Consider the following 27,811-nt stretch of genomic DNA (forward strand, 5'->3'; position numbering starts at 1 on the left):
AAACCCCTGGCCATCTGACTCTTAAGTCTAAGCTCTGATGCTATACCACTTCTGTAGACTGTAAGTACAAAGGCAGGAAAAGTGTCATTCATTCATCCATCCAACAAATATTTTGAGCAACTACTATAGACTACTATAAGCTATTCTAAGTGTTAGGAGTACAGTAAGCAGACAACGTTGCTGTTTGTAAGAAGCTAACATTCTGCACATGGGAAAACAGACAAGAAACAAGTGACCCAATCAATGAAAAAGATAAATCAGGTAGTGGTAAATACTAAGATTGCAATAAAATAAGCAGATATGCTGGCTAGAGAATGACTAGGTTCAGGTGTGTGGCTGAGAGGGCGAGTGTGACTTCAACCTCAGTGACTGGGGAAGATCTTCCTTAGGAGATAACATTTAAGCTGAAACCTGCAAGTTAAGAAAGAAAGAGTCATGTGAAGATCTGGGGAAAGAGAATCCCAGGCAAGGGCCTGAGCCATGTTTAAGAAATAGAAAGAGGCTCATGTGGCCGGAGCAAAATGAACAAGGAGGATATTCCACCTGATGCTGGAGATGAGGTTTTATTTTCAGTGTAACCGTAAGCCAATGTTGTCTCCTTTACCACTGAATCTATAGCACTTAGTGATGTGTTCAAGGTATATGTTAATTGTCACTGAATAAAATGTTTGCTGCATGAAGAAATGAAAGAGTGAACAATACCCAGCTTTCAGCTCAAAAGAAAAAGTTACAGAATGATGTACCCTGTAGAGGACTAAGAACCTGATCTAAAGCCCAAGATGCAGAGTCCTTCCTTCCCCCTCTGCTGCACACTGAGTGGGTGGCTAGACTCCCCAGAGATACTGCAGAACTGTGAACAGCAAGTCAAAGTTTATTATGTTACATATAAGGAGTAGAAGATGGTCATGCCATTGCTGTGTGTGTGTGTGTGTGTGTGTGTGTGTCCCTGCTCAAAATCTGCACAATAGCTTCCTTGCTTGGCCGGGTGCATGATCCTTTTCAAACTCTGAAGAACAAAATGTATATAACACATAGGAGGCAATATCCCTGGGGACTGTAGCCCTCATTTCTGGGTGACAAATTCTGAAGAGTCATGCTTGCTACTTCCAAGGGATCCAAGCATGAACAGGAAGGAAACTTGGCAAAGAATCACACCAGCCTTCTCAGGGACAAGGGATGACACGCTTAAGCCAGTCTATACCTAACACAGTTTGTCTGGCTCATGTTTTGCCCTCCTTCATAGTGCTTATGATATGTCAATGTGATAAAAATGAGTTTCTGATGATCTCCAAGCCACAGATTCATGATAGGAAGCAAGCATGCAGGCCATTTTAAATGGTTGCCTGACACTTCCTTATTTTACCAATAATTTTATCAGCCTGTTTAGATAATGCTTCTATCCCTCCAAGTGCCACAGAGAGATAGCACATCGATAAGGTCAAAGAGACAACACCTGGACCAGAGAGACAGGTCTCAGGGCCAAAGTGTGACTGTGAACCTAGGCAACATAGCAAGACCCCAGCACTACCAAAAAAAAAAATTTTTTTTTTAATTAGCCAAGCATTGTGGTGTACATCTGTTGTCCCAGCTATTCTGGAGGCTGAAGCAGGAGGATGGCTTGAACCCAGAAGTTCAAGGATGCAGTGAGCTATGATGGCACCACTGCACTCCACCCTAGGTGACAAAGCAAGACCCTGTTTCTGAAAAAAAGTGTGACTGGGAACTCAATGAACTTTAATTGCCTTATATCTTTTCCATTTTTTCCCTACCATGCTCCCACCTCCACTGGCACTCCAAGTTGGAAGCAGATCTGGCTTTTGAATTAGTTTTACTACAATTAGCAGTGCAACCTCAGTCAAACTACTCAACTTCTATGTGTCTCAGTGAGCCAGATTCTGTAAAATTAAGAGAATAGTGTTGAGAAGATAAAATGCATAAAGCACCAGAGCACCTAACTCACTTCTGGCATCTATTCAGCACTCCTCCTTCCCATCCTTCTCCCCAAATCCAAAGGCCCCACTCCCTTTGTTCTCTAAGGACATTAAATAGCACAGAGAGAAGATACTCACAAAAAATATTTCTCATGAAGGTGTTATTAATAATATTCAATAACATCAATTTTATGTTTCCTTTCCAAGCAATATTTAAAGTTTAATCCACAGCAAAGAATTCCTAGCTAAGGGATTTTATGCCATGTAGTCATATTGGCAAAAAGTAAGAAAGTCTTTACCAAATACAGTACAAGCCAACTGGGGTTATGAATGAGTTTACCATGCCATTATCCCCACTTCCATATGATGCTATCATAGTTCATTCAAATGAAGAGGCTATCATAGTTCATTCAAATGAAGAGGAAAAACCACCTAAAGCTTGGGAAGTGCAAATCTTAGGCAGACCAAACATAATTATTGACTCTTGGAGATAAAAAAAATTCATTAACTCAGAAAAGAAACTCTATTCACAGTTCTTCAGCCAGATTCACATTCATGCTGACTTTAATAAATGTTGTGAGGGGATCTGGCAAGATGGCCGAATAGGAACAGCTCCAGCCTGCAGCTTCCAGCACGACCAATGCAGAAGGTGGGTGATTTCTGCATTTCCAACTGAAATACCCTGTTCATCTCACTGGGCCTGATTAGGCAATGGGTGCAGCCCACGGAGGGCAAGCAGAAGCAAGGTGGGGCATCGCCTCACCCAGGAAGTGCAAGAAGCAGGGGGCCTCCCTTTCCCAGCCAAGGGAAGCCATGAGGGACTGTGCTGCTCGGCCTGGATACTAGGCTTTTCCCACAGTTTTTGCAATCCACAGACAAGAAGACTCCCTCGTGTGCCTATACCACCTGGACCCTGGGTTTCAAGCACAAAACTGGGCAGCTGCTTGAGCAGACACCGAGCTAGCTGCAGGAAGTTTTTTTTTTTGTACCCCAAAAATGACTGGAACCCCAGCAAGATAGAAACGTTAATTCCCCTGGACAGGGGGCTGAAGCAAGGGAGCCAAGTGGTCTCGCTCAGTGGGGTCCCAATCCCACAGAGCCCTGCAAGCTAAGAACCACTGGCTTGAAATTCTAACTGCCAGCACGGCAGTCTGAAGTCGACCTGGTATGATCAAGCTTGGTGGGCTGGGGGCGGGGGGTGGGCGCATCCGCCATTACTGAGGCTTGAGTAGACCGTTTTCCCCTAACAGTGCTAACGAAGCCTGGAAGTTGAGACTGGGTGAAACTCAACACAGTGCGACAAAGTGGCTGTGGCCAGACTGCCTCTCTAGATTCCTCTTCACTAGGCAGGGCAAATCTGAAAGAAAGGCAGCAGTCCGAGTCAGGGGCTTATAGATAAAACTCCCATCTTCCTGTGACAGAGCACCTGGGGAAAGGGATGGCTGTGGGCACAGTTTCAGCAGACTTAAACATTCCTGCCTGCCGGCTCTGAAGAGAGCAGTAGATCTTGACAAGGAGGGTTCTTCCAGCACAGCACTCGAGCTCTGCTAAGGGACACATTGCCTCCTCAAGTGGGTCCCTCGCCCCCCTGTCTCCTGACTGGGAGAGACCTCTCAAAAGGGGTTGACATAAACCTCATACAGGGAAGCTCTGGCTGGCATCAGGTGCCCCTCTGGGATGAAGCTTCCAGAGGAAGGAGCAGGCGGCAATCTTTGCTGTTCTGCAGCCTTCCCTGGTGATACTCAGGTAAACAAGGTCTGGAGTGGACCTCCAGCAAACTGCAGCAAACCTGCAGAAGAGGGGCCTGACTGTTAGAAGAAAAACTAACAAACAGAAAGCAATAACATCAACATCAACAAAAAGGACCCGCACACAGAAATTCCAACCAAAGGTTATCAGCCTCAAAGATTAAAGGAAGATAAATCCACGAAGATGAGGAAAAACCAGCATAAAAATGCTGAAAATTCCAAAAATCAGAATGCCTCTTCTCCAAATGATCACAACTCCTCTCCAGCAATGGCACAAAATTGGACAGAGAATGAGTTTGACGAATTAACAGAAGTAGGCTTCAGACGGTGGGTAATAACAAACTCCTCTGAGCTAAAGGAGCATCTTCTAACCCAATGTAAGGAAGCTAAGAACCTTGACAAAAGGTAACAGGAACTGCCACCTAGAATAACTAGCTTAGAGAAGAAGATAAATGACCTGATAGAGCTGAAAAACACAGCATGAGAACTTCATGAAGCATACATAAGTATCAATAGCCGAATCAATCAAGCAGAAAAAAGGATATCAGAGATTGAAGAACAACTTACTGAAATAAGGCGTGAAGACAAGATTAGAGAAAAAAGAATGAAAATGAACGAACGAAGCCTCCAAGAAATATGGGACTATGTGAAAAAACCAAACCTACGATTGATAGGGGTACCTGAAAGTGATGGGGAGAATGAAACCAAGTTGGAAAACACACTTCAGGATACTATCCAGGAGACAGGCCAACATTCAAATTCAGGAAATACAAAGAACACTACTAAGATACTCCTTGAAAAGAGCAACCCCAAGACACATAATTGTCAGATTCACCAAGGTTGAAATGAAGGAAAAAATGTTAAGGGCAGCCAGAAAGAAAGGTCAGTTTACCTACAAAGGGAAGCCCATCAGACTAACAACAGATCTATCAGCAGAAACCCTACAAGCCAGAAGAGTGTGAGGGCCAGTATTCAACATTCTTAAAAAAAAGAATTTTCAACCCAGAATTTCATATCCAGCCAAACTAAGTTTCATAAGTGAAGGAGAAATAACAGCCTTTACAGACAAGCAAATGCTGAGGGATTTTGTCACCACCGGGCCTGTCTTACAAGAAGCTCCTGAAGGAAGCACTAAATATGGAAGGAAAAACTGGTACTAGCAACTGCAAAAACACACCAAAATATAAAGACCAATGAAACTATGAAGAAACTGCCTCAACTAATGTGCAACATAACCAGCTAGCATCATAATGACAGGATCAAATTCACACATAACAATATTAAACTTAAAAGGGCTAAATGCCCCAATTAAAAGACACAGACTGGCAAACTGGATAGTAAAGACCCACTGGTGTGCTGTATTCAGGAAACCCATCTCACATGCAAAAAGACACACATAGGCTCAAAACAAAGGGATGGAGGAATATTTACCAAGCAAATGGAAAGCAAAAAAAGCAGGGGTTGCAATCCTAGTCCCTGATAAAACAGACTTTAAACAAACAAAGATTAAAAAAAAGACTAAGAAGGGCATTATATAATGGTAAAGGGATCAATGCAACAGGAAGAGCTAACTATCCTAAATATATATGCACCCAATACAGGAGCACCCAGATTCATAAAACAAGTTCTTAGAGACCTAAAAAGAGACTTAGATTCACACTCAGTAATAGTGGGAGACTTTAATACCCCACTGCCAATATTAGATCAATGAGACAGAAAATTAACAAGGATATTCAGGATTTGAACTCAGCTCTGGACCAAGCAGGCCTAATAGATATCTACAGAACTCTCCACCCCAAATCAATAGAATATACATTCTTCTCAGCACCACATAGCACTTATTCTAAAATTCACCACAAAATTGGAAGTAAAACACTCCTCAGGAAATGGAAAAGAATGGAAATCATAACAAACAGTGTCTCAGACTACAGTGCAATCAAATTAGAACTCAGGATTAAGAAACCAACTCACTCAAAACTGCACAACTAGATGGAAACTGAGCAACCTGCTCCTGAATGACTACCAGGTAAATAATGAAATTAAGGCAGAAATAACAAAGTTCTTTGAAACCAATGAGAACAAAGAGACAACATACCAGAATCTCTGGGACACAGCTAAAGCAGTGTTTAGAGGGAAATTTATAGCACTAAATGCCCACATGAGAAATCAGAAAAGATCTAAAATCACTCTAACATCACAATTAAAAGAACTAGAGAAGCAAGAGCAAACAAATTCAAAAGCTAGCAGGAGAGGAAATAACTAAGATCAGAGCAGAACTGAAGGAGATGCACAAAAAACACTTCAAAAAAAAAATCAATGAATCCAAGAGCTGTTTTTTTTAAAAAAAAATTTAACAAAATAGACTGCTAGCGAGACTAATAAAGAAGAAAAGAGAGAAGCAGCAAACAGACACAATAAAAAATGATAAAGGGGATATCACCACTGATCCCACAGAAATTCAAACTACCATCAGAGAATACTATAAACACCTCTACACAAATAAAGAAAATCTAGAAGAAATGGATAAATTCCTGGACACATACACCCTCCCAAGACTAAACCAGGAAGAAGTTGAATCCCTGAAAAGACCAATAACAAGTTCTGAAATTGAGGCAGTAATTAATAGCCTATCAATGAAAAAATGTCCAGGACCAGACGGATTCACAGCCAAATTCTACCAGAGGTACAAAGAGGAACTGGTACCAATCCTTCTGAAACTAATCCAAACAACAGAAAAAGAGGGACTCCTACCTAACTCGTTTTATGAGTTTGGAATCATCCTGATTCCAAAACCTGGCAGAGACACAACAAAAAAGAAAATTTCAGGCCAATATCCCTGATAAACATCGATGTGAAAATCCTCAATAAAATACTGGCAAACCAAATCAAGCAGCACATCAAAAAGCTTATCCACCATGATCAAGTCAGCTTCATCCCTGGGATGCAAGGCTGGTTCCACATATGCATATCAATAAACATAATCAATCACATAAACAGAACCAATGACAAAAACCACATGATTATTTCAATAGATGCAGAAAAGGCCTTCAATAAAATTCAACACCCCTTCATGCTAAAAACACTCAATAAACTAGGTATTGATGGAACATATCTCAAAATAATAAGAGCTGCTCATGACAAACCCATAGCCAATATCATACTGAATGGGCAAAAGCTGGAAGCATTCCCTTTGAAAATCGGCACAAGACAACGATGCCCTCTCTCACCACTCCTATTCAACATAGTGTTGAAAGTTCTGGCCAAAGCAGTCAGGCAAGAGAAAGAAATAAAGGGTATTCAAACAGGAAGACAGGAAGTCAAATTGTTTCTGTTTGCAGACAGCATGATTGTATATTTAGAAAACCCCACTGTCTCAGCCCCAAAACATTTTAAGCTGATAAACAACTTCAGCAAAGTCTCAGGATAAAAAATCAATGTGCAAAAATCACAAGCATTCCTATACACCATTAACAGACAAGCAGAGAGCCAAATAATGAGTGAACTCTCATTCACAATTGCTACAAAGAGAATAAAATACCTAGGAATACAACTCACAAGGGACGTGAAGAACCTCTTCAAGGAGAACTACAAACCACTGCTCAAGGAAATAAAAGAGGACAAAAACAAATGGAAAAAAATTCCATGCTCACAGATAGAATCAATATCATGAAAATGGCCATACTGTCCAAAGTAATTTATAGATTCAATGCTATTCCCATCAAGCTACCAGTGACTTTCTTAACATAACTAGCAAAAATTACTTTAAATTTCATATGGAACCAAAAAAGAGCCCGAATTGCCAAGACAATCCTAAGCAAAAAGAACAAAGCTGGAGGCATCATGCTACCTGACTTCGAACTATACTACAAGGCTACTATAACCAAAACGGCATGGTACTGTTACCAAAACAGATATACAGACCAATAGAACAGAACAGAGGCCTCAGAAATAACACCACACATCTACAACCGTCTGATCTTTGGCAAACCTGACAAAAACAAGCAATGGGGAAAGGATTCTCTATTTAATAAATGGTGCTGGGAAAACTGGCTAGCCATATGCAGAAAACTGAAACTGGACCCCTTCCTTACACCTTATACAAAAATTAACTCAAGATGGATTAAATACTTAAATGTAAAACCTAAAACCATAAAAACCTTAGAAGAAAAGCTAGGCAATACCATCCAGGACATAGGCATGGGCAAAGACTCCATGACTAAAACACCAAAAGCAATTGCACCAAAAGCCAAAATTGACAAATGGGATCTAATTAAACTAAAGAGCTTCTGCTCAGCAAAAGAAACTATCATCAGAGTCAACAGCCAACCTACAGAATGGGAGAAAATTTTTGCAATCTATCCATCTGACAAAGGGCTAATATCCAGAATCTACAAGGAACTTAAATTTACAAGAGAAAAAAAACAAACAACTCCATCAAAAAGTGGGTAAAGGATATGAACAGACACTTCTCAAAAGACAACATTTATGTGGCCAACAAACATGAAAAAAAAGCTCATCATCACTGGTCACTAGAGAAATGCAAATCAAAACCACAATGAGATACCATTTCACACCAGTTAGAATGGTGATCATTAAAAAGTCTGGAAACAACACATGCTGGAGAGGATGTGGAGAAATAGGAATGCTTTTACACTGTTGGTGGGAGTGTAAATTAGTTCAACCATTGTAGAAGACAGTGCGGCGAGTCCTCAAGGATCTAGAACCAGAAATACCATTTGACCCAATAATCCCATTACTGGGTATATACCCAAAGGATTATAAATCATTCTACTATAAAGACACATGCACATGTAGGTTTATTGCAGCACTATTTACAATAGCAAAGACTTGGAACCAACCCAAATGCCCATCAATGATAGACTGGATACAGAAAATATGGCACATATACACCATGGAATACTATGCAGCCATAAAAAAAGGATGAGTTCATGTCCTTTGCAGGGACATGGATGAAGCTGGAAACCATCATCCTCAGCAAACTAACACAAGAACAGAAAACCAAACACTGCATGTTCTCATTCATAAGCAAGAGTTGAACAATGAGAACACATGGACACAGGAAGGGGATCATCACACACTGGGGCCTGTCAGGGGGTTGGGGAAAGAGGAGGGAGAGCATTAGGACAAACATCTAATGCATGCAGGGCTTAAAACCTAGATGACAGGTTGATAGGCGCAGCAAACCACCATGGTACATGTATACCTATGTAACAAACCTGCATGTTCAGTACATGTACCCCAGAACTTAAAGTAAAATAAAATATAAGGGCCAATAACAAGTTAAAAAAATAATAATTTAAAAAATTAATTATTTTTTAAATTATTATTATTAATTGAGAGCAGGCTTGCAAAAGTCCAGCCTGCTCTCAAACAGCTGACTAGCCACAATGTATGTTCTTACAAGTCTCTCTGCTTTCGCATTCCGTCTTCTCTCTGTCTGGAAAATTCCTATCATCTTTTCTGCACCTGGAAAAAAAATTCTATTCATCTTTGAAGGCCTAGTTCAAATGTCACCTTCTCTGTAAAACATTTCAAATATTCATGCAATTGTCCAGCAAAATTAGTCACATAACTCCTTACTTCTTAGTATTTCATTCCTACCTTTGGAATAAGGCTTACCAGAGTTTATTCACAAATCATATTGTAGTACAGTTAATGGTTGTGCTCTCTTTCCCACAGTAAATGGTGAGCAATTTGGAGGGTAAGAACCCTGCTTTATTTAAGTTTGTATTCCTGGTATCATGCATTGTGCCTGCATATGTGTGTCCTTAGTAAATGTTGGTAGAATTGAATTCATTAGCTTTAGGACAAGTACTGAATGTCTCCAAGTTGCAGTTTCCTCCTCTATAAAAGATGACAAAGATATCTACAACAAAATATTAGTGTCCAGACTCAATCACGTAGCAAATGTAAAATACTATCTTGTACCCAGGATTGACCCTTGTAATTAGCTCACAAGGAGCTTATTAAATTTATCTATTCAGTAAAATTATTTAGACATTTTCTTTAGCACATCCTCATCAACAACACAGGAATGACCTTGATCTCATGAAGTTCACATCTCAGAGGGATAAAACAGCTAACGGCTAAACAAATAAATATGCCAGAAAATATTAGAGATAAAGGCTTTGAAGAAAATTCAGAAGAGTACTGATAATGAAAGTTACTTGAGTAAAGAAAGTGTCAAGGAAGGCTTCTCAGAGGAGGTAATGTTTAAGTGGATGTTTAATCCACATGACCAAAAGTAACCCTGTGATCAAATGAGAGAAAAGCATGCGGGGCTCTGCAACAGCAAGTGCAAAGTCCCTGTGGCAGGTACAAGATTGGGGTACTCAAGAAAAAATGAGGCAAATGTGATGGGAGCATTTTCAACTTAAGGGAAGTGTAGAAGAGATGCAGTTGCAGAAGTAGATGGGGGACAGATCATGTTGGGGACTTAATAGGCCATGGTAAAGGATTCACATATCATTCAAAGTACAATGGAAAACTATATAGAGGTTCTTAATCAGAGTAGTGACACGAACTAATTTATGTTTTTAAAAGTTTAACAATTGTTTACAGAATGGATTATGGAGGCAAAAATTGAAGCAGAGAGACCAGCTAGGAAGATCCTACAGTAGTCCAAGATGATGTTTACTTGACACAGGCTGATAGAAGTGAATACTGAGAGGAGAGCAACTGAATATGTTACAGAGACAAAAGCATGATGACTTACCAATGGAGAGTGAAGAGAAGTAAGGAATCAAGGACAATGAAGGGTGTCTTAGTCTATTCAGGCTTCCCTAGCAATTACCATAAACTGGGTGGCTTATAAACAACAGAAATTTATTCTCACAGTTCTGGAGGCAGGGAAGTCCAAGATCAAGGTACTGGCAGATTCAGTGTCCATTAAGAGTCCATTTCCTCATAGATAGTGCCTTCTTGCTGCTTCTTCATATGGTGGGACAAGACAGCTCTCCAGGGCCTCTTTAAGGGGACTCCTCCTATTCACAAGGCTTCTGCCATCACGACTGTATTAGTCTGATCTCACATTGCTATAAAGGAATACCTGAGACTGGGAATTTATAAAGGAAGGAGGTTTAATTGGCTCATAGTGCTGCAGGCTGTGCAGCGGTTAGTGGCTTCTGCTTCTTGGGAGGCCTCAGGAAGCTTCCAGTCATGGCAGAAGGCAAAGGGGGAGCAGGCACGTCACATGGAGAAAGCAAGAGCAAGAGAGAGAGGGGCTACACACTTAAATAACCAGATCTCATGAGCACTCACTTGCTATGGTGAGGACACCACCAAGGGGGATGGTGCTAAGCCATTCCTGAGAAATCTGCCCCCATGATCCAGTCACCTCCCACTAGCCTCCACCTCCAACACTGGAGATTACATTTCAATATGAGATTTGGGTGGGGACACATATCCAAACCATCTCAATGACCCAATTATCTCCCAAAGCTTACCTCCTAATACCATCACCTTGGTAATCAGGTTTTCAACAAATCACTCTGAGAGGACACAAATGTTCAGATCATAGCACAGAGTTTTTGACTCAAGCTTCTAGGTGAGATTAAGCTTGAAAGTAAAGAAAATATTTTAAAACTATTAGTGGTAGATGTACTTCCCTATTTCTCCTAAGTACAGTTAAAAACACTGGACATTTTTTATATATATATATATATATATATATATATATATATACACACACACACACACACACACACACACACACACACACAATATATGTATATATACACATATATATGTATGTGTATATATGTGTATATATACATATATGTATATATTTACACATATGTGTATGTGTATATATGTATATATTTACACACACACGTGTGTATATGTATATATTTACACACACACGTGTGTATATGTATATATTTACACACACACGTGTGTATATGTATATATTTACACATCTATGTGTATATGTGTATATATTTACACATCTATGTGTATATATACATATATGTATATATTTACACATCTGTGTATATAGGCATATATTTACACATCTGTGTATATAGGCATATATTTACACATCTGTGTATATATATATATTTACACATCTATGTGTATATATACATATATACACGTGTGTATATATACATATATACACGTGTGTATATATACATATATACACGTGTGTATATATACATATGTGTATATATTTACACGTGTGTATATGCATATGTGTATATATTTACACGTGTGTATATGCATATATGTATATATTTACACCTGTGTATATACATATATGTATATATTTACACCTGTGTTTATACATATATATTTACACATATGTGTGTATATATACATGTATATATTTACACATGTGTGTATATATGTATATATTTACACATATGTGTATATATACATATATGTATATATTAACACATGTGTATATACACATATATGTATATATTTACACGTGTATATATACATATACACATGTGTATATACACATATATGTATATATTTTCACGTGTATATATACATATATTTACAGATATGTGTATATATACATAGTGTATATAGAGTATATATACATAGTGTATATATACTATATATGTATGTCAATACACTATATATACACTATACATGTGTAAATATATACATATGTGTATACACATACGTGTGTAAATATATACATGTGTATATACACATATAGGTGTGTATATACACATACGTGTGTAAATATACATGTGTATATACACATGCGTGTGTAAATATATACATATGTGTATATACACAGATGTGTAGATACATAGGTGTATATATACATATATGTATATATACACGTGTATATGTTTATATATACACATAGATGTGTAAATATATACATATTTGTCTATATACACGTGTAAATATATGCATGTGTATATACAATATATGTGGAAATATATGCATGTGTATATACACATATATGTATAAATATATGCACATGTGTATATACACATATATGTGTAAATATATACATATGTGTATATACACATGTGTAAATATATACATGTGTAAATATACATATGTGTAAATACACACATGTGTAAACATATACATGTGTATATACATGTGTATACACACGTGTAAATATATACATATGTGTACACACACGTGTAAATATATACATATATGTGTATACACACATGTATGTGTAAATATACACGTGTATACACGTGTGTATACATGTGTATACACACGTGTGTATACATATACGTGTGTATCACATGTGTGTAAATATATACACACGTGTATACACACATGTGTGTAAATATATACACACGTGTTTACACACGTGTAAATATATACATATGTGTATGCACACGTGTGTAAATATATACACTGTGTATATACACGTGTGTAAATATATACACTGTATACACACGTGTGTATATAGACACGGGTATATACACGTGTGTAAATATATACACGTGTATTATACACATGTGTGTAAATATATACACACGTGTATATACACGTGTGTAAATATATACACGTGTGTATACACGTGTGTAAATATATACACGTGTGTATATACACATATGTGTAAATATATACACGTGTGTATATACACATGTGTATACATATGTGTAAATATATACATATATGTGTATATACACATATATGTGGGACACGAAACAGTGTGTGAATTCCATGGGCTTCCTTTTTGACTCAAGTATCCCAGAGCTGAAGAAGCCAACGACCTGGAAACATCAATGGGCATAAACCAAAAGAAGTCCCCCAAAGCCTGCTCTCTCTAGCCAAATTATCAGGAAGGCACCAGACAAGCAAGATAGGCTTTTATTTTTATTTAATTTATTTATTTTTGAGATGGAGTTTTGCTCTTGTCACCTAGGCTGACATGCAATGGCAGGATCTCGCTCACTGCAACCTCCACCTCCTGGGTTCAAGTGATTCTCCTGCCCCAGCCTCCTAAGTAGCTGGGATTACAGGCGCCTGCCACCATGCCCAGCTAATTTTTGTATTTTAGTAGACATGGGGTTGCACCATGTTGGCCAGGCTGGTCTCAAACTCCTGACATCAGGTGATCCACCCACCTTGGCCTCCCAAAGTGCTGGGATTACAGGTGTGATCCACCACACCCGGCCAAGACAGATTTTTAGATAATGAATGTTCCACTCCAGGCAAACATCACAGGAAAATCTGTGGCCACACTCTTAGACACACCAGCAAAAGTTAAGTAGGAAACATGGGCTTTCACTATCACAAAGCTCTAATGAGGAGCTCCAATGCCCAAGGGGGCTGCTGTAAGACAAGGCCAAGTAAGGAACCAGGAACTGTATCCTCACTGGCCAGTAACAAGCACCTTCCCCCAGTGGCATCAATGGAGACCACATGAGGCACCTGGACTTCTACCTCCACCGGCAGTAATGAGGTGCCCATCCTTCTCCCAGATGGGGTGGTGTCTGAGGAGGATTAATGGAGAGTAAGGACTTGCACCACCATTCAGCAATAATGAGACCACTACTACCGCAGTGCCAGTGGAAACCACACAAGGAAACAAAAATCTCATCTCTACCCATCAGTAATGAAGGGCTCCCACCCCTAGCCCCAATGTGTCAGTGGAGGCTCAGTGGGGAACCTGGACATTTATCTTTACCTGGCACTCACACAGTGGTGTCCCCTCCTCTTCATCTGCCAGAGAAGTGTCAAATTAAAATAGGTTTTAAAAATAAGGTTGAAATAAGATCTAGAATCTCATATAGAATATGAAAATGTGCAGGTTTCAACTTTTAAAAATCACTTGTCACATAAATAGAAAACTTTTGAACTGAATAGGAAAAAAAGACAATTACTAGATGCCAACCCCAAAATGACAGATGTCAGAATGATGTGACAAATATTTTAAAGCAGCCACAATATAATACATATAAACCATGGAATACTATGCAGCCATAAAAAGGAATGAGGTCATGTCCTTTGCAGGAACATGGATAGGAGCTGGAGGCCATTATTCTTAACAAACTAATGCAGGAACAGAAAACAAAATACTGCATGTTCTCACTTATAAGTGGGAGCTAAATAATGAGAACACATGGACATGAAGAGGAAAACACAGGGACCTACTTGAGGGTGGAAAGTGGGAGAAGGGAGAGGATCAGAAAAAATTACTATTGGGTACTATGCTTAGTACATCTGGGTGACAAAATCTGTATACCAAACCCCTGTGACACGAGTTTACCTATATAACAAACCTGTATAAGTATCCCTGAAATTAAAATAAAATTTTAAAAATTAAAAAAAATTAGAACTTGTTGATCATTATGGTGGACAGAAGGCAGGACTAGATTGCAGCTCTGACTCAGACAGACAGAGCAGCATACAGAGGCTCACATCGCACATTTTAGCTCCAGAATGACTGCGAGAACAAACCAGGAATCCCGAGAGAACCCACAGACCCTCTGAAGGAAGCGGACTGCTCCTGCAGGACTCAGGAGACACCCCAAATACTGTGAGTGCTCAAACTGTGGAAGTGGGAAAGGGAGACCCTCCACTCCTGAACACACACCCGCACTGGGGAAAATGAAAGTCATACTCAAGAGAAGTTTCCAACCTTACCTGGAGCTGAGTCAATTTAGAGAGCCAAGCAAAATACATGGGTAGAAGAAACAGTGGGAAAGGCCCTGGGAGCTCACTGGGTCCCCAAGCAGCCACTCCTGCCTGGAACCACAGGGACCCTCCTGGAGGCACCAGAGGCATGGGGGAAGACGCCACAGGGAGAAGGAAGTCTCCAGCTGGACTTTGTAACAATTTGAACCGGGTGAGAAGCCTCCTGGCCAGAACTCGGGCTAGGGGGCGAATCCGGTGGGCAGACTCCACAGGCGGGGAAAGAATCAAAGCCCTGTTCTTTTGCAGCTGGGAGGCGGGGAGCCTGAGGCAAGTTCTCAAGCCCTGCTCACCTCAGCCACTGCCTGGAAACAGACTTGGGACTACTGGGGGAGCATGGTGGGAGTGAGACCAGCCCTTCAGATTGCATGAGCTGGGTGAGGCCTGTGACTGCTGGCTTTCTCCCACTTCCCTGACAACCTGCATGACTCAGCAGAGGTAGCTATAATACTCCTAGGTTCACAACTCCATCGACCTGATGGCTTCACCTCCAGCCCCCACAGCAGCAGCAGCAAGACTCCCCTAAGGAGAGTCTGAGCTCAGACACTCCTAGCTCCACCCCCACCTGATGGTCCTTCCCTATCCACCCAGGTAGCTGAAGACAAAGGACACATACTCTTGGGAGTTCTAGGGCCCCGCCCACTGCTGGTTCCTCTCCATACTACCACAGCTGATGCTCTCTGGAAAGCGCCACCTACTGGCAGGAAGCGAACCAGCACAAAAATAGAACATTAAACCACCAAAGCTAAAGAACCCTCACAGAGTCCATTTCAACCCCCTGCCGCCTCCCACAGCTGAGAGGCCCATAGATGGTTCACATCACAGGACTCTGTGCAGACAACCCCCAGTACCAACCCAGAGCCAGGTAGGCTTGCTGTGTGGCTAGACCCAGAGAGAGATACCAATCACTGCAGCTCAGCTTACAGGAAGCCGTATCTATAGGAAAAGAAGAAGAGTACTACATCAAAGGAACACCCCATGGGACAAAAGAATCTGAACAACAGCCTTCATCCCTAGATTGTCCCTCTGACAGCCTACCCGAATGAGAAGGAAAGAAAACCAACTCTGGTAATATGAAAAAACAAGGCTCTTTAACACAGCAAGAAGAAATCCCTGATTTACCTGAAAAAGAATTCAGCAGGTTAGTTATTAAGCTAATCAGGGGGGCAGCAGAAAAAGGCAAAGCCAATGCAAGGAAATCCAAAAGATACAAGAAGTGAAGGGAGAAATATTCAAGGAAATAGATTAATGAAAAAAAACAATCAAAATGTCAGGAAACATTGGACACACTTACAGAAATGCAAAATGCTCTGGAAAGTCTCAGCAATAAAATTGAACAAGTAGAAGAAAGAAATTCAGAGCTCAAAGACAAGGTCTTCGAATTAACCCAATCCAATAAATACACACACACACACACACACACACACACACACACACAAAGAATAAGAAAATATGAACAAAGCCTCCAAGAAGTCTGGGATTATGTTAAATGACCACATCTAAGAATAATCAGTGTTCCTGAGGAAGAAGAGAAGTCTAAAAGTTTGGAAAATATATTTGGGGGAATAATCAAGGAAAATTTTTCCAGCCTTGCTAGAGACCTAGACATCCAAATACAAGAAGCAAAAAGAACACCTGGGAAATTCATCACAAAAAGATCATCGCCTAGGCACATTGTCATCAAGTTAGCTAAAGTTAAGATGAAGGAAAGAATCTTAAAAGCTGTGAGACAAAAGCACCAGGCAACCTATAAAGGAAAACCTATCAGATTAACAGCAGATTTCTCAGGAGAAACCTTACAAACTAGATGGGATTGGAGCCCTATTTTCGGCCTCCTCAAACAAAACAATTATCAACCAAGAATTTTGTATCCAGCAAAACTAATCATCATATACGAAGGAAAGATACAATCTTTTTCAGACAAACAAATGCTGAAAGAATTTGCCAGTACCAAGCCACCACTGTAAGAACTGCTAAAAGGAGCACTAAATCTTGGAACAAATCCTGGAAACACATCAAAACAGAACCTCTTTAAAGCATAAATCACACAGGACCTACAAAACAAAATACAGTTTAAAAAGCAAAAACAAAAAACAAAAAAACCATGGTACATAGGCAACAAATAGCACGATGAATGCAATGGTACCTCACATCTCAATACTAACATTGACTGTAAATGGCCTAAATGTCCCACTTCAAAGATAAAGAACTGCAGAATGGATAAGAACTCACCAACCATCTGCTGCCTTCAGGAGACTCATCTAACACGTAAAGACTCACATAAGCTTAAAGGGGTGGAAAAAGGCATTTCATGCAAGTGGATACCAAAAGCAAGCAGGGGTAGCCATTCTTATATCAGACAAAACACACTTTAAAGAAACAGCAGTTAAAAGAGACAAAGAGGGACATTACATAATGGTAAAAGGCCTTGTCCAACAGGAAAATATCACAGTCCTAAACATATATGCACCTAACACTGGAGCTCACAAATTTATAAAACAATTACTAATAGACCTAAAAAATGAGATAGACAGCAACACAATAATAGTGGGGGACTTCAATACTCCACTGACAGCAGGTCATCAAGACAGAGAGTCTACAAAGAAACAATGGATTTAAACTATACCTTGGAACAAATGAACTTAACAGATATATACAGAACATTTCTTCCAACAACCACAGAATACACATTCTACTCAACAGCGCATGGAACTTTCTCCAAGATAGACTATATGATAGGTCATAAAACAAGCCTCAATAAATTCAAGAAAATTGAAATTATATGAAGCACTCTCTCAAATGACAGTGGAATAAAACTAGAAATCAACTCCAAAAGGAACCCTTGAAACCATGCAAATACATGGAAATTAAACAGCCTGCTCCTGAATGAGCATTGGGTCAAAAACAAAATCAAGGTGGAAATTAAAAACTTCTTCTAACTGAACAACAATAGCAGCACAACCTATCAAAACCTCTGGGATACAGTAAAGGCAATGCTAAGAGGAAAGTTCATAGCCCCTAAAGTTCATACCTACATCAGAAAGTCTGAAAGAACACAAACTGACATTCTAAGGTCCCACCTCAAGGAATTAGAGAAACAAGAACAAACCAAACCCAAACCCAGTAGAAGAAAGAAAACAACCAAGATCAGAGCAGAACTAAATGAAATCGAAACAAACAAACAAAAAGTACAAAAGATAAATGAAACAAAAAGCTGGTTCTTTGAAAAAATAAATAAAATTGATAGACCATTACCAAGATTAACCAAGAAAAGAAGAGAGAAAATCCAAATAACCTCATTAAGAAATGAAACGAGAGCTATTACAACTGACACCACTGAAATACAAAAGATAATTCAAGGCTACTATGAACACCTTTATGCACATAAACTAGAAAACCTAGAAGAGATGGAAAAATTCCTGGAAAAATACAACCCTCCTAGCTTAAATCAGGAAGAATTAGATACCCTAAACAGACCAGTAACAAGCAGTTGGTAATTCAAACATTACCAACAAAAAGAAGTCCAGGACCAGATGGATTCACAGCAGAATTCTACCAGCATTCAAAGAAGAATTGGGACCAATTCTTTTGACACTATTCCACAACATAGAGAAAGAGGGAACCCATTCTATGAAGCCAGCATCACCCTAATACCAACACCAGGAAAGGATGTAAGCAACAAAGAAAACTATAGACCAATATCTCTGATGAACACAGATGCTAAAATCCTTAATAAAATACTAGCCAATAGAATCCAACAACATATCAGAAAGATAATCCACCATGATCAAGTGGGTTTCATACCAGGGATGCAGGGATGGTTTAACATACACACGTCAATAAATGTGATATACTGCATAAACAGAATTAAAAACAAAAATCACACGATCATCTCAATAGATGCAGAAAAAGCATTTGCCAAAATCCAGCATCGCTTTATGATTAAAACTCTCAGCAAAACTGGCATACAAGGGACATACCTCAGTGTAATAAAAGCCATCTATGACAAACCCACAGCCAACATAATACTGAATGGGAAAAACTGAAAGCATTCCCTCCGAGAACTGGAACAAGACCAGGATGCCCATTCTCACCACTCGTCTTCAACATGGTCCTGGAAGTCCTAGCCACAGCAATCAGACAAGAGGAAAAAATAAAGGGCATCCAAATCGGTAAAGAGGAAGTCAAACTGTCACTGTTTGCTGACCATATGATCGTTTACCTTGAAAACCCTAAAGACTCCTCCAGAAAGCTCCTATAACTGATAAAATAATTCAGAAAAGCTTTCAGATACAAGATTAATGTACACACATCAGTAGTTCTTCTATACACCAACAGCAACCAAGCAGAGAATCAAATCAAGAATCAAACCAAGCACAGAATCAAATCAACCCCTTTTACAATAGCTGCAACAAAAAAATAAAATAAAATACTTACAAATATACCTAAGAAAGGAGGCGAAAGACCTCTACAAGGAAAACTACAAAACACTGCTCAAAGAAATCATAAGACGACACAAACAAATAGAAACACATCCCATGCTCATGGATGGGTAGAATCAATGAAGAATCAATGGGTAGAATCTGTGAAGAATGATGGTGGTATTTTGGTGGGGACTGCCAAAAGCAATCTTCAAATTCAACACAACCCCCACCAAAATACCACCATCATTCTTCACAGAATTAGAAAAAAACCATCCTAAAATTCATATGGAACCAAAAAAGAGTGTACATAGCCAAAGCAAGACTAAGCAAAAAGAACAAATCTGGAGGCATCACACTACCTGATTTCAAACTATACTCTAAGGCCATAGGTACTGGTATAAAAATAGGCACATAGACCAATGGAACAAAATAGAGAACCTGGAAATAAACCCAAATACTTACAGCCAACTAATCTTCAACAAAGCAAACAAAAACATAAAGTGGGGAAAGGATCCCCTTTTCAACAAGTGGTGCTGAGATAATTGGTTAGCCACATGTAAGAGAATGAAACTGGATCCTCATCTCTCACCTTATACAAAAATCAACTCAAGATGCATTAAGGGCTTAAATCTAAGACATGAAACTAAGTAAGTTCTAGAAGATAATGCTGGAAAAACCCTTGTTGTAGACATTGGCCTAGGCCAGGATTTCATGACCAAGAACCCAAAAGCAAATGCAATAAAAAGAAAGATAAATAGTTGGGACTTAATTAAATTAAAGAGCTTTTACACAGCAAAAGGAACAGTCAGCAGAGTAAACAGACAACCCACAGAGTGGGAGAAAATCTTCACAATCTATACATCTGACAAAGGACTAATATCCAGAATCTGTAATAAACTCAAACAAATCAGTAAGAAAAAAACAAACGATCCCATCAAAAAGTGGGCTAAAAACATGAATAGACAATTCTCAAAAGAAAATATACAAATGGCCAAGAAACATATGAAAAAATGCTCAACATCATTAATGATCAGGGAAATGCAAATTAAAACCATAATGTGATACCACCTTACTCCTGCAAGAATGGCCATAATAAAAAAATCAAAAAACAGTAGATGTTGGCGTGGATGCAGTGATCAGAAAAACTTCTACACTGTTGGTGGGAATGTAAACTAGTACAACCACTATGGAAAACAGCGTGGAGATTCCTTGAAGAACTAAAAGTAGAACTACCATTTGATCCAGCAATCCTACTACTGGATATCTACCCAGAGGAAAAGTCGTCATTATACAAAAGAGATACTTGCACAAGCATGTTTACAGCAGCACAATTTGCAATTGCAAAATCTTGGAACCAACCCAAATGCCCATCAAGCAATGAGTAATTAAAGAAACTGTGGTACATATATACAATGGAATACTACTCAGCCATAAAAAGGAATAAATTAACAGCATTTGCAGTAACCTGGATGAGACTGGAGACTATCATTCTAAGTGAAGTAACTCAGGAATGGAAAACCAAATATCGTATGTTCTCACTGCTATATGGGAGCTACGCTATGAGGACATAAAGGCATATAAGAATGATACAGTGGACTTTGGGGACTTAGAAGGAAGGGTAGGAGAGGTGAGGGATAAAAGACTACAAATAGGATGCAGTGTATACTGCTTGGGTGATGGGTACAACAAAATCTCGCAAATAACCACTAAAGAACATACTCATGTAACCAAACACCACCTGTACTCCAATAACCTATGGGGGGAAAAGGCCAAATACCAGAGAAAATAAATAAATAATAAAAATTAAAATTTTAAAAATTTAAAATAAAATAAAATAAATTTTTCTTCTTTCAAAAATAAATAATAAAGCAGCCACAATAAAAATGCTTCAACAAGCAATTACAAGCCTGCTTGAAACAAACAAAATATAGAAAATAGAAGATATAACGAACTAAATGAAAAATTTTAAAATTCAAAAATAAAATAATGGAAATAAAAGTCTCAGTGGATGGGTTCAATAGTAAGAGGAGGAAACACAGGAAAGAAATCATGAATTGAGAGAAAAAACAATAAAAATTAGTCAATCTGAAAAATACAGAGAAAATAGACTGAAATAAAATGAACAGTGTTTCAACGACCTGTGGGACTATTTAAAAAATAACATTCATGTAATCAAAGTTTCAGAAGGAGAGGAAAAAGGCAGTAAGACTGAAAAAGCACTCAAAGAAGTAATGGCTGAAAATTTCCCAAATTTGCCAGGAGACAAAGTCCTGTAAATTCAAGAAGCTGGGCAAACTCCAAACATAATCAACTGAAAGAAATCCATGCCAGCTTCTGAAAACTAAATACAAATTTTAAAATATTGAAAGCAGCCAGAGAAAAATGACAACTTACCTATAGAATTAAAAAAAAACAGATTTTTCATCAGAAACCATGTAGGGCAGAAAGAAGTGGCATGATATTTTACAGTGTTGAAAGAAAACAACTGTCCACCAGCCAACAGTGGCTCATGCCTGTAATCCCAGTACTTTGGGAGGCTGAGGTGGGTGGATCACTTGAGGTCAGGAGTTCAAGACCAGCCTGGCCAACATGGTGAAACCCTGTCTCTACTAAAAATACAAGAAAAAAATTAGCCAGGCATGGTGGTGCATGCCTGTAATCCCAACTACTCGGGAGGCTGAGGCAGGAGAATCCCTTGAACCCAGGAGGCAGAGGTTGCAGTTAGCCAAAGTCACACCACTGCACTCCAGCCTGGGTGATACAGCAAGACTCCGTCTCAAAAAATCAAACCAGAACAAAACAACTGCCAACCAAGAATTCTATGTCCAGTAAAAATATCTTTTAGGAATTATTAATATACAAATATTAAGAAATTACCAGACGAAAGAAAACTAAGATAATTTTTCACCAGCAAAACTACCCAAAAAAATGGGTAAAGGAAGTTCTCTAAACAGAAACAAAATAATAAAAAGAGGGACTTGAAACATTAGGAAGAAAGAACACAGTAAGCAAAAACTATGAACAAATACAACAGGTTTTTCTTTTCTTCTTGAGTTTTCTAAATTATGTTTGAAGGTTGAAGCAAAAATCACGGCATTGTCCTATGTGGTTCTAAATGTATGTACAGGAAATATTTAAGACAACTAGTAGAGGAGGATGACAGAACAAAAAGGAAGGTAAGGTTTCTATACTTCACTTGAACTGGTAAATAACAACAGTAGACTGCAATAAGTAATGTACATATAATGTAATACCTACAGCACCCAAACAATTAAGACATATACTTTTTCAGAACTATATAGACCAATCAAAGTGGAATTCTAAAATATATTACAGTAACACACAGGAAGGCAAAAAAAATGAAAACAACAGAAAACAAAAAATAAAATGGTAGACATACATTCTAAAATAACAATTATGTTTAATGTAAATGGTCTAAAAACAAATTAAAAGACAGAGATGGCATGTTGGGTTGCAAAACATGACCCAACTATATGCTGTCTATAACAAACTTGCTTCAAATATAATTATATAAAAGGACTGAAAGTGAAAGAATGGAAAAAGACATATCATGCAAACATTAATCAAAGGAAAGCAAGGATGGCTACATTAATATCAGATAAAGTAGACTTCAGAGCAAAGAAAATTACCAAAAACAAGGAGGGACATTACATAATGACAATAGGATAAATCAACTAAAAAGACATAGTAATTCTAAATGTGTATGCACCCAAAAATACAACTGCAAAATATGTGAAACAAAAACTGATATAACTGAAAAGACAAAGAGAAATCCACAATTATAACTGGAGGCTTCCATACCCTCTCAACAACTGATAGAACAACTAAACATAAAATCCGCAAGGATACAGGAAAACTCAATACCACCAACCAACAGGTTAGCATTTATAAACTATTCCACCCCACCACAGCAGAATCAACAGATTTTTCAAGAATCTGCAAATCATATACCAAGACAGAACATAAATTGGGAAATAAAACAAACCTCAACAAATTTAAAAGAACTGAAATTATACAGAGGAAAAAGAAAAGACACAAATTACCAATATCAGGAGTAAAACAGAGACTATCATATAGACTCTACAGATATCAAAGGATGATAAGGGAGTACTGCAAGAAACTCTACACACACAAACTTGACAACTCAGAAGAAATAATCAATACCTCAAAAGACACAAATTACCATACATTTCCTATTATGAAATAGATAATCTGGATAGCCTACAATATTAAGGAAATTTAACTTATAATTTTAAAACTCCTAAAAAATAAATCTGTAGGCCCAGACTGTTTCACTGGATAATTTGACCTATTTTTTAAATAAGAATTAGCATCTATTCTACATAATTTCTTCCAGAAAATAGAGGAGGAGAGGTTTCTTAAGTCATTTTTTAATATCATACTAACCTGATACCAAAACCAGACAAAGAATATTTAAAAAAGAAAGAAAACCAGACAATATCCTTCATGAACACAGACACAAAGTATTAGCAAATAGAATTCAGCATTATATAAAATGAATTCTACACCATGTCCCAATGGAATTTATTCCAGGAATGCAAGGCTAATTCAATATTTAAAATTCAATCAATATAACCTACCACATTGCGCTAATGCAAAGAAATATGGTCATATCAATTGATACAGAAAAAGCTTATGAAAAAATTCAACAGAGATTCTTGATAAAAACTCTCCGAGTAACAAATTGAGGGGACTTTCCTGGAGAGAAAAGGTAGAGTTGTTCCTAAATTTATTTTTGAAATAAAGGGAAAAGAAAAAGAAATAGAAGAAACTTCCCTCAACTTGATAAAGGATATTTACAAAAACCTACAGCTAGAGTTATACTTCATAGGATAAAAGAATGAATGCTTTCTCCCTAAGATCAGGTACAAGGCCAGAATGTTCATTCACACCATTCTTCATTCTGCATAATGCTGGAAGGTCTAGCCAATGCATTAGCTAGTGCAATTTTTTACGAAAACTAACTCGAAATGGACCATAGGCCTAAATGCAGAACACAAAATATCCAAACTGAAATGCAGAAACAAAAAAGAATGAAAAAGACAGGATATTCAAGAACTGTGGGACAATTACAAAAGATGTAACATGCATATAATGGGAATACAAGAAGAAAGAGAGAAAGGAACAGAAGAAATATTTGAAGCAACAATGACTGAGATTTTCCCAAAATATCAGCTGATATTTACCCAACAGACTATACACCCTTTACTATACCTAGTGTTCCCTAGTCCAGAGCCTCTCAAGAGTTCTAGAATGTAAGTACCATCTGTACTCGGTTGCTAGGGCTACCATAACAAAGTACCACAGACTGGATGGATTAAATAATAAAAATTTATTTTCTCACAATTCTGGAGGTTAGAAGTCCAAGATCAAGGTGCCAGTAGCATTGGTTTCTTCTAAAGGCCTCTCTCCTTGGCTTGCAGATGGCTGTCTTCTCCCTGTGTCTTCACATGGTCTTCCCTCCCTATGTGCCTGTGTCCTAATCGCCTTCATATAAGGACAGCAATCATATCGTATTAGGGCCTACCCTAATGACCTCACTTTAACTTGATTACCTCTTTAAAGATCCTATCTCCAAATGTAGTCACATTCTGAGGTACTGGGGGGTGGGACTTCAGCATATGAATTTGAGGAGAACATAATTTAGCCCATAATACTTTCCTCATGCTCCCTCATGCAAATCCTTTCTGTAACTCCCTCCACCTTCATCTTTCTAAAATGTATTAATAGTTTTTGTTTCCTAATGCAGTTCCCCTTCTTTTTGCTGTTTATGATTTATTCATTTGTAATTCTTTACTATTATTTTACTAGAATCTGAGGAAAGGTAAGAAGAAAAAATGTGGTTAATCCACCATCTTTTCCTAGGAGTCCCCCCAAACTTTTTAAGTATCACCTCCCACTAAGAAGTCTTCTTGCTGATGTTAAGACCACAGTAATCTCTCCTTTATCCTAATTCTTAATTCATTTAACACATATTTGTCTTGTTTCCTTTTTATTAGCCTTATGACCCCACTTACAGGTTTTAAGCAATGATGGCTTTTAAAATTTCTGTTTTACCACCAATGCCCAGTATTATATTAAATATTCATTATTTGATTGATAAAAATAATTTAATTTTTATGAATTTATAATATGACCCCACTCCTACAATTCAGATTCAGTTTTTATGTTTTAATGTAGTGGACCAATGAATACATCATGAAATTCACAATGCACCACCCTATTATACATGACAGCTTCTTGGGAATAAGAGGTAAAAAATTTCACATCCAAGTACCAAAATGGAAAGCACAGAGCCATCTCATGCCTGAAAATCCTGTCTTAGACTTCTCAGAAACACAAACATTTTAAACTCAGCCCAGGCAAATTAGATCAAAGCTAATAATGTAGTCCTTTAAAAAATGACCCATTGCTCCAAGCTAAGTAAAAAGCATATCAGATCTATGAAAAGTAATTATACATGAAAATGAGATTCTTTGCTTTCCTTCTAACAAGTGTTAAAGGTAATGTAATTAAAATCAACATTGATCACTATATTTATGGAAATCTTAGTCCTGAATTCAGGTCATTTACAGTTAGTTGAGCTGACCTATTAACAAGATCTTTGAAGTTTCTCTAAGGAGCCTCATTGCCTTACACGATTTTCCTTGCTTCTGAATTTCCACCAGGCTTAGGTTCAAAATCCTCTGGTGGTTAATGCTGTCATGTGGTTGGTTGGTGAAAACTTTGTTCTGCTTCTTTGTCAAATACAAGGACAAATCAAGTGTAATGAAAAGTGAGATGGCAAACATGCAGTGTAGCTTGACTTGATAACATTTCAGATTGTAAGGGCTGATATTCACCTGAGAGACTTTATACCCAATTTGAACATTTTGACTGACTTACTCTGATTATCCAAATCAAGCATTCTCGGATGGAAAAAGTGGTAAGGTGAGTAAAAAAGGACAAAATCGAATTCCAGGTACCCACTGCAACAGACATGAGAAAACAAAATTAAAGCCAACATTTGGGGAATCAGAAGCATTCTTTTTATTCCTGTGTTTCCTGGATTTTCTTTTTCCATTGGGAAGATCCTCCCATTGTTCTAGGAAACACAGTTTGTTTTGGTTAAGCAGATCTAAGGTAAATGCTTACTCACTCTTTCAGGTCAGGGAAGTCCTGAAAGCAGGGAGTAATCCACATGCACAGGCTTCAGACTCAGATGCTGACCCAGTCTTCACCAAGTGCGTAGTGAAGCTCTGCAGAGACTGTTAGAGGATGAGAACTGGTTTTCACTTTATCTGGCTTAGGCCAACTGGTGGAGAATTCTGGGCTTAAGGAGGGGCACTTTTGCAAAGAAGTACAGCCACTGGACTCCAGGAGCAGGGGTGCCTGGTTTTAAAGTTCATTTGTGTCCCATAAGGCCCCAGTGGTATCTTCAAGTATATGGTAAAGTATTGTTAAACTGTGCCTTCTAGTATCAGCTGTGTTTGGAAGGCTAACGGAAGGGACTGCATCCATGCCTGGTGTTAAGCAGGCCTGGGGTGGAGAGGAAGCCTAGAAACGAGGCTACAACCACAGCAGGGAAGCCTGGGCAGCTGCCCACAGGAGAGCTGACAGGGAACAGTATGGCTGGATTTGTGTGTGTGTGTAAACACTCCCTAGGTAGGTGTTGCTGGGACCCAACAAAGACTGATATCTTCTAGTGACACAAGAAAGAGGCTCAGGTTATGTTTTCCAGCATCAATGGGACAGATGACCCTCTAAAGCTAGAGCCCTTGAGGATATCCTGATGGTAGTTACAGAAGTTCATTTGAATCTGGTTCTTTATTTTTGCTTCTGCCCTTCCAGCAAATTGCGGGCTTCAGATGGCTTTGCTATTTGGTTTGCGGTGGGAGTTAAAGGCACATGGTAGCTGCCTTGCAACATCCTACTGAACCCTACCCTCCATTAAGCTCAATCTATCACTGAGGTAACAATAACCAGAGCCATAAGTTATGATTACCTAGTACTGAGTCTACTCAGGAAAACCTCTATG

At 38.5% G+C, this 27,811-nt stretch overlaps 1 annotated feature.

The window, feature by feature from the left end:
- Positions 15,051–15,590: an enhancer, noted in NCBI's record as "H3K27ac-H3K4me1 hESC enhancer chr12:48030175-48030714 (GRCh37/hg19 assembly coordinates)". NCBI's record gives its function as "activates a minimal SCP1, AML or CMV promoter by ChIP-STARR-seq in naive H9 embryonic stem cells {active_cell/tissue: H9 hESC(naive)}" and the evidence as "EXISTENCE:reporter gene assay evidence [ECO:0000049][PMID:30033119]".

This window comes from Homo sapiens, chromosome 12 (genome assembly GCF_000001405.40).
Source record: "Homo sapiens chromosome 12, GRCh38.p14 Primary Assembly".
Taxonomy (NCBI): domain Eukaryota; kingdom Metazoa; phylum Chordata; class Mammalia; order Primates; family Hominidae; genus Homo; species Homo sapiens.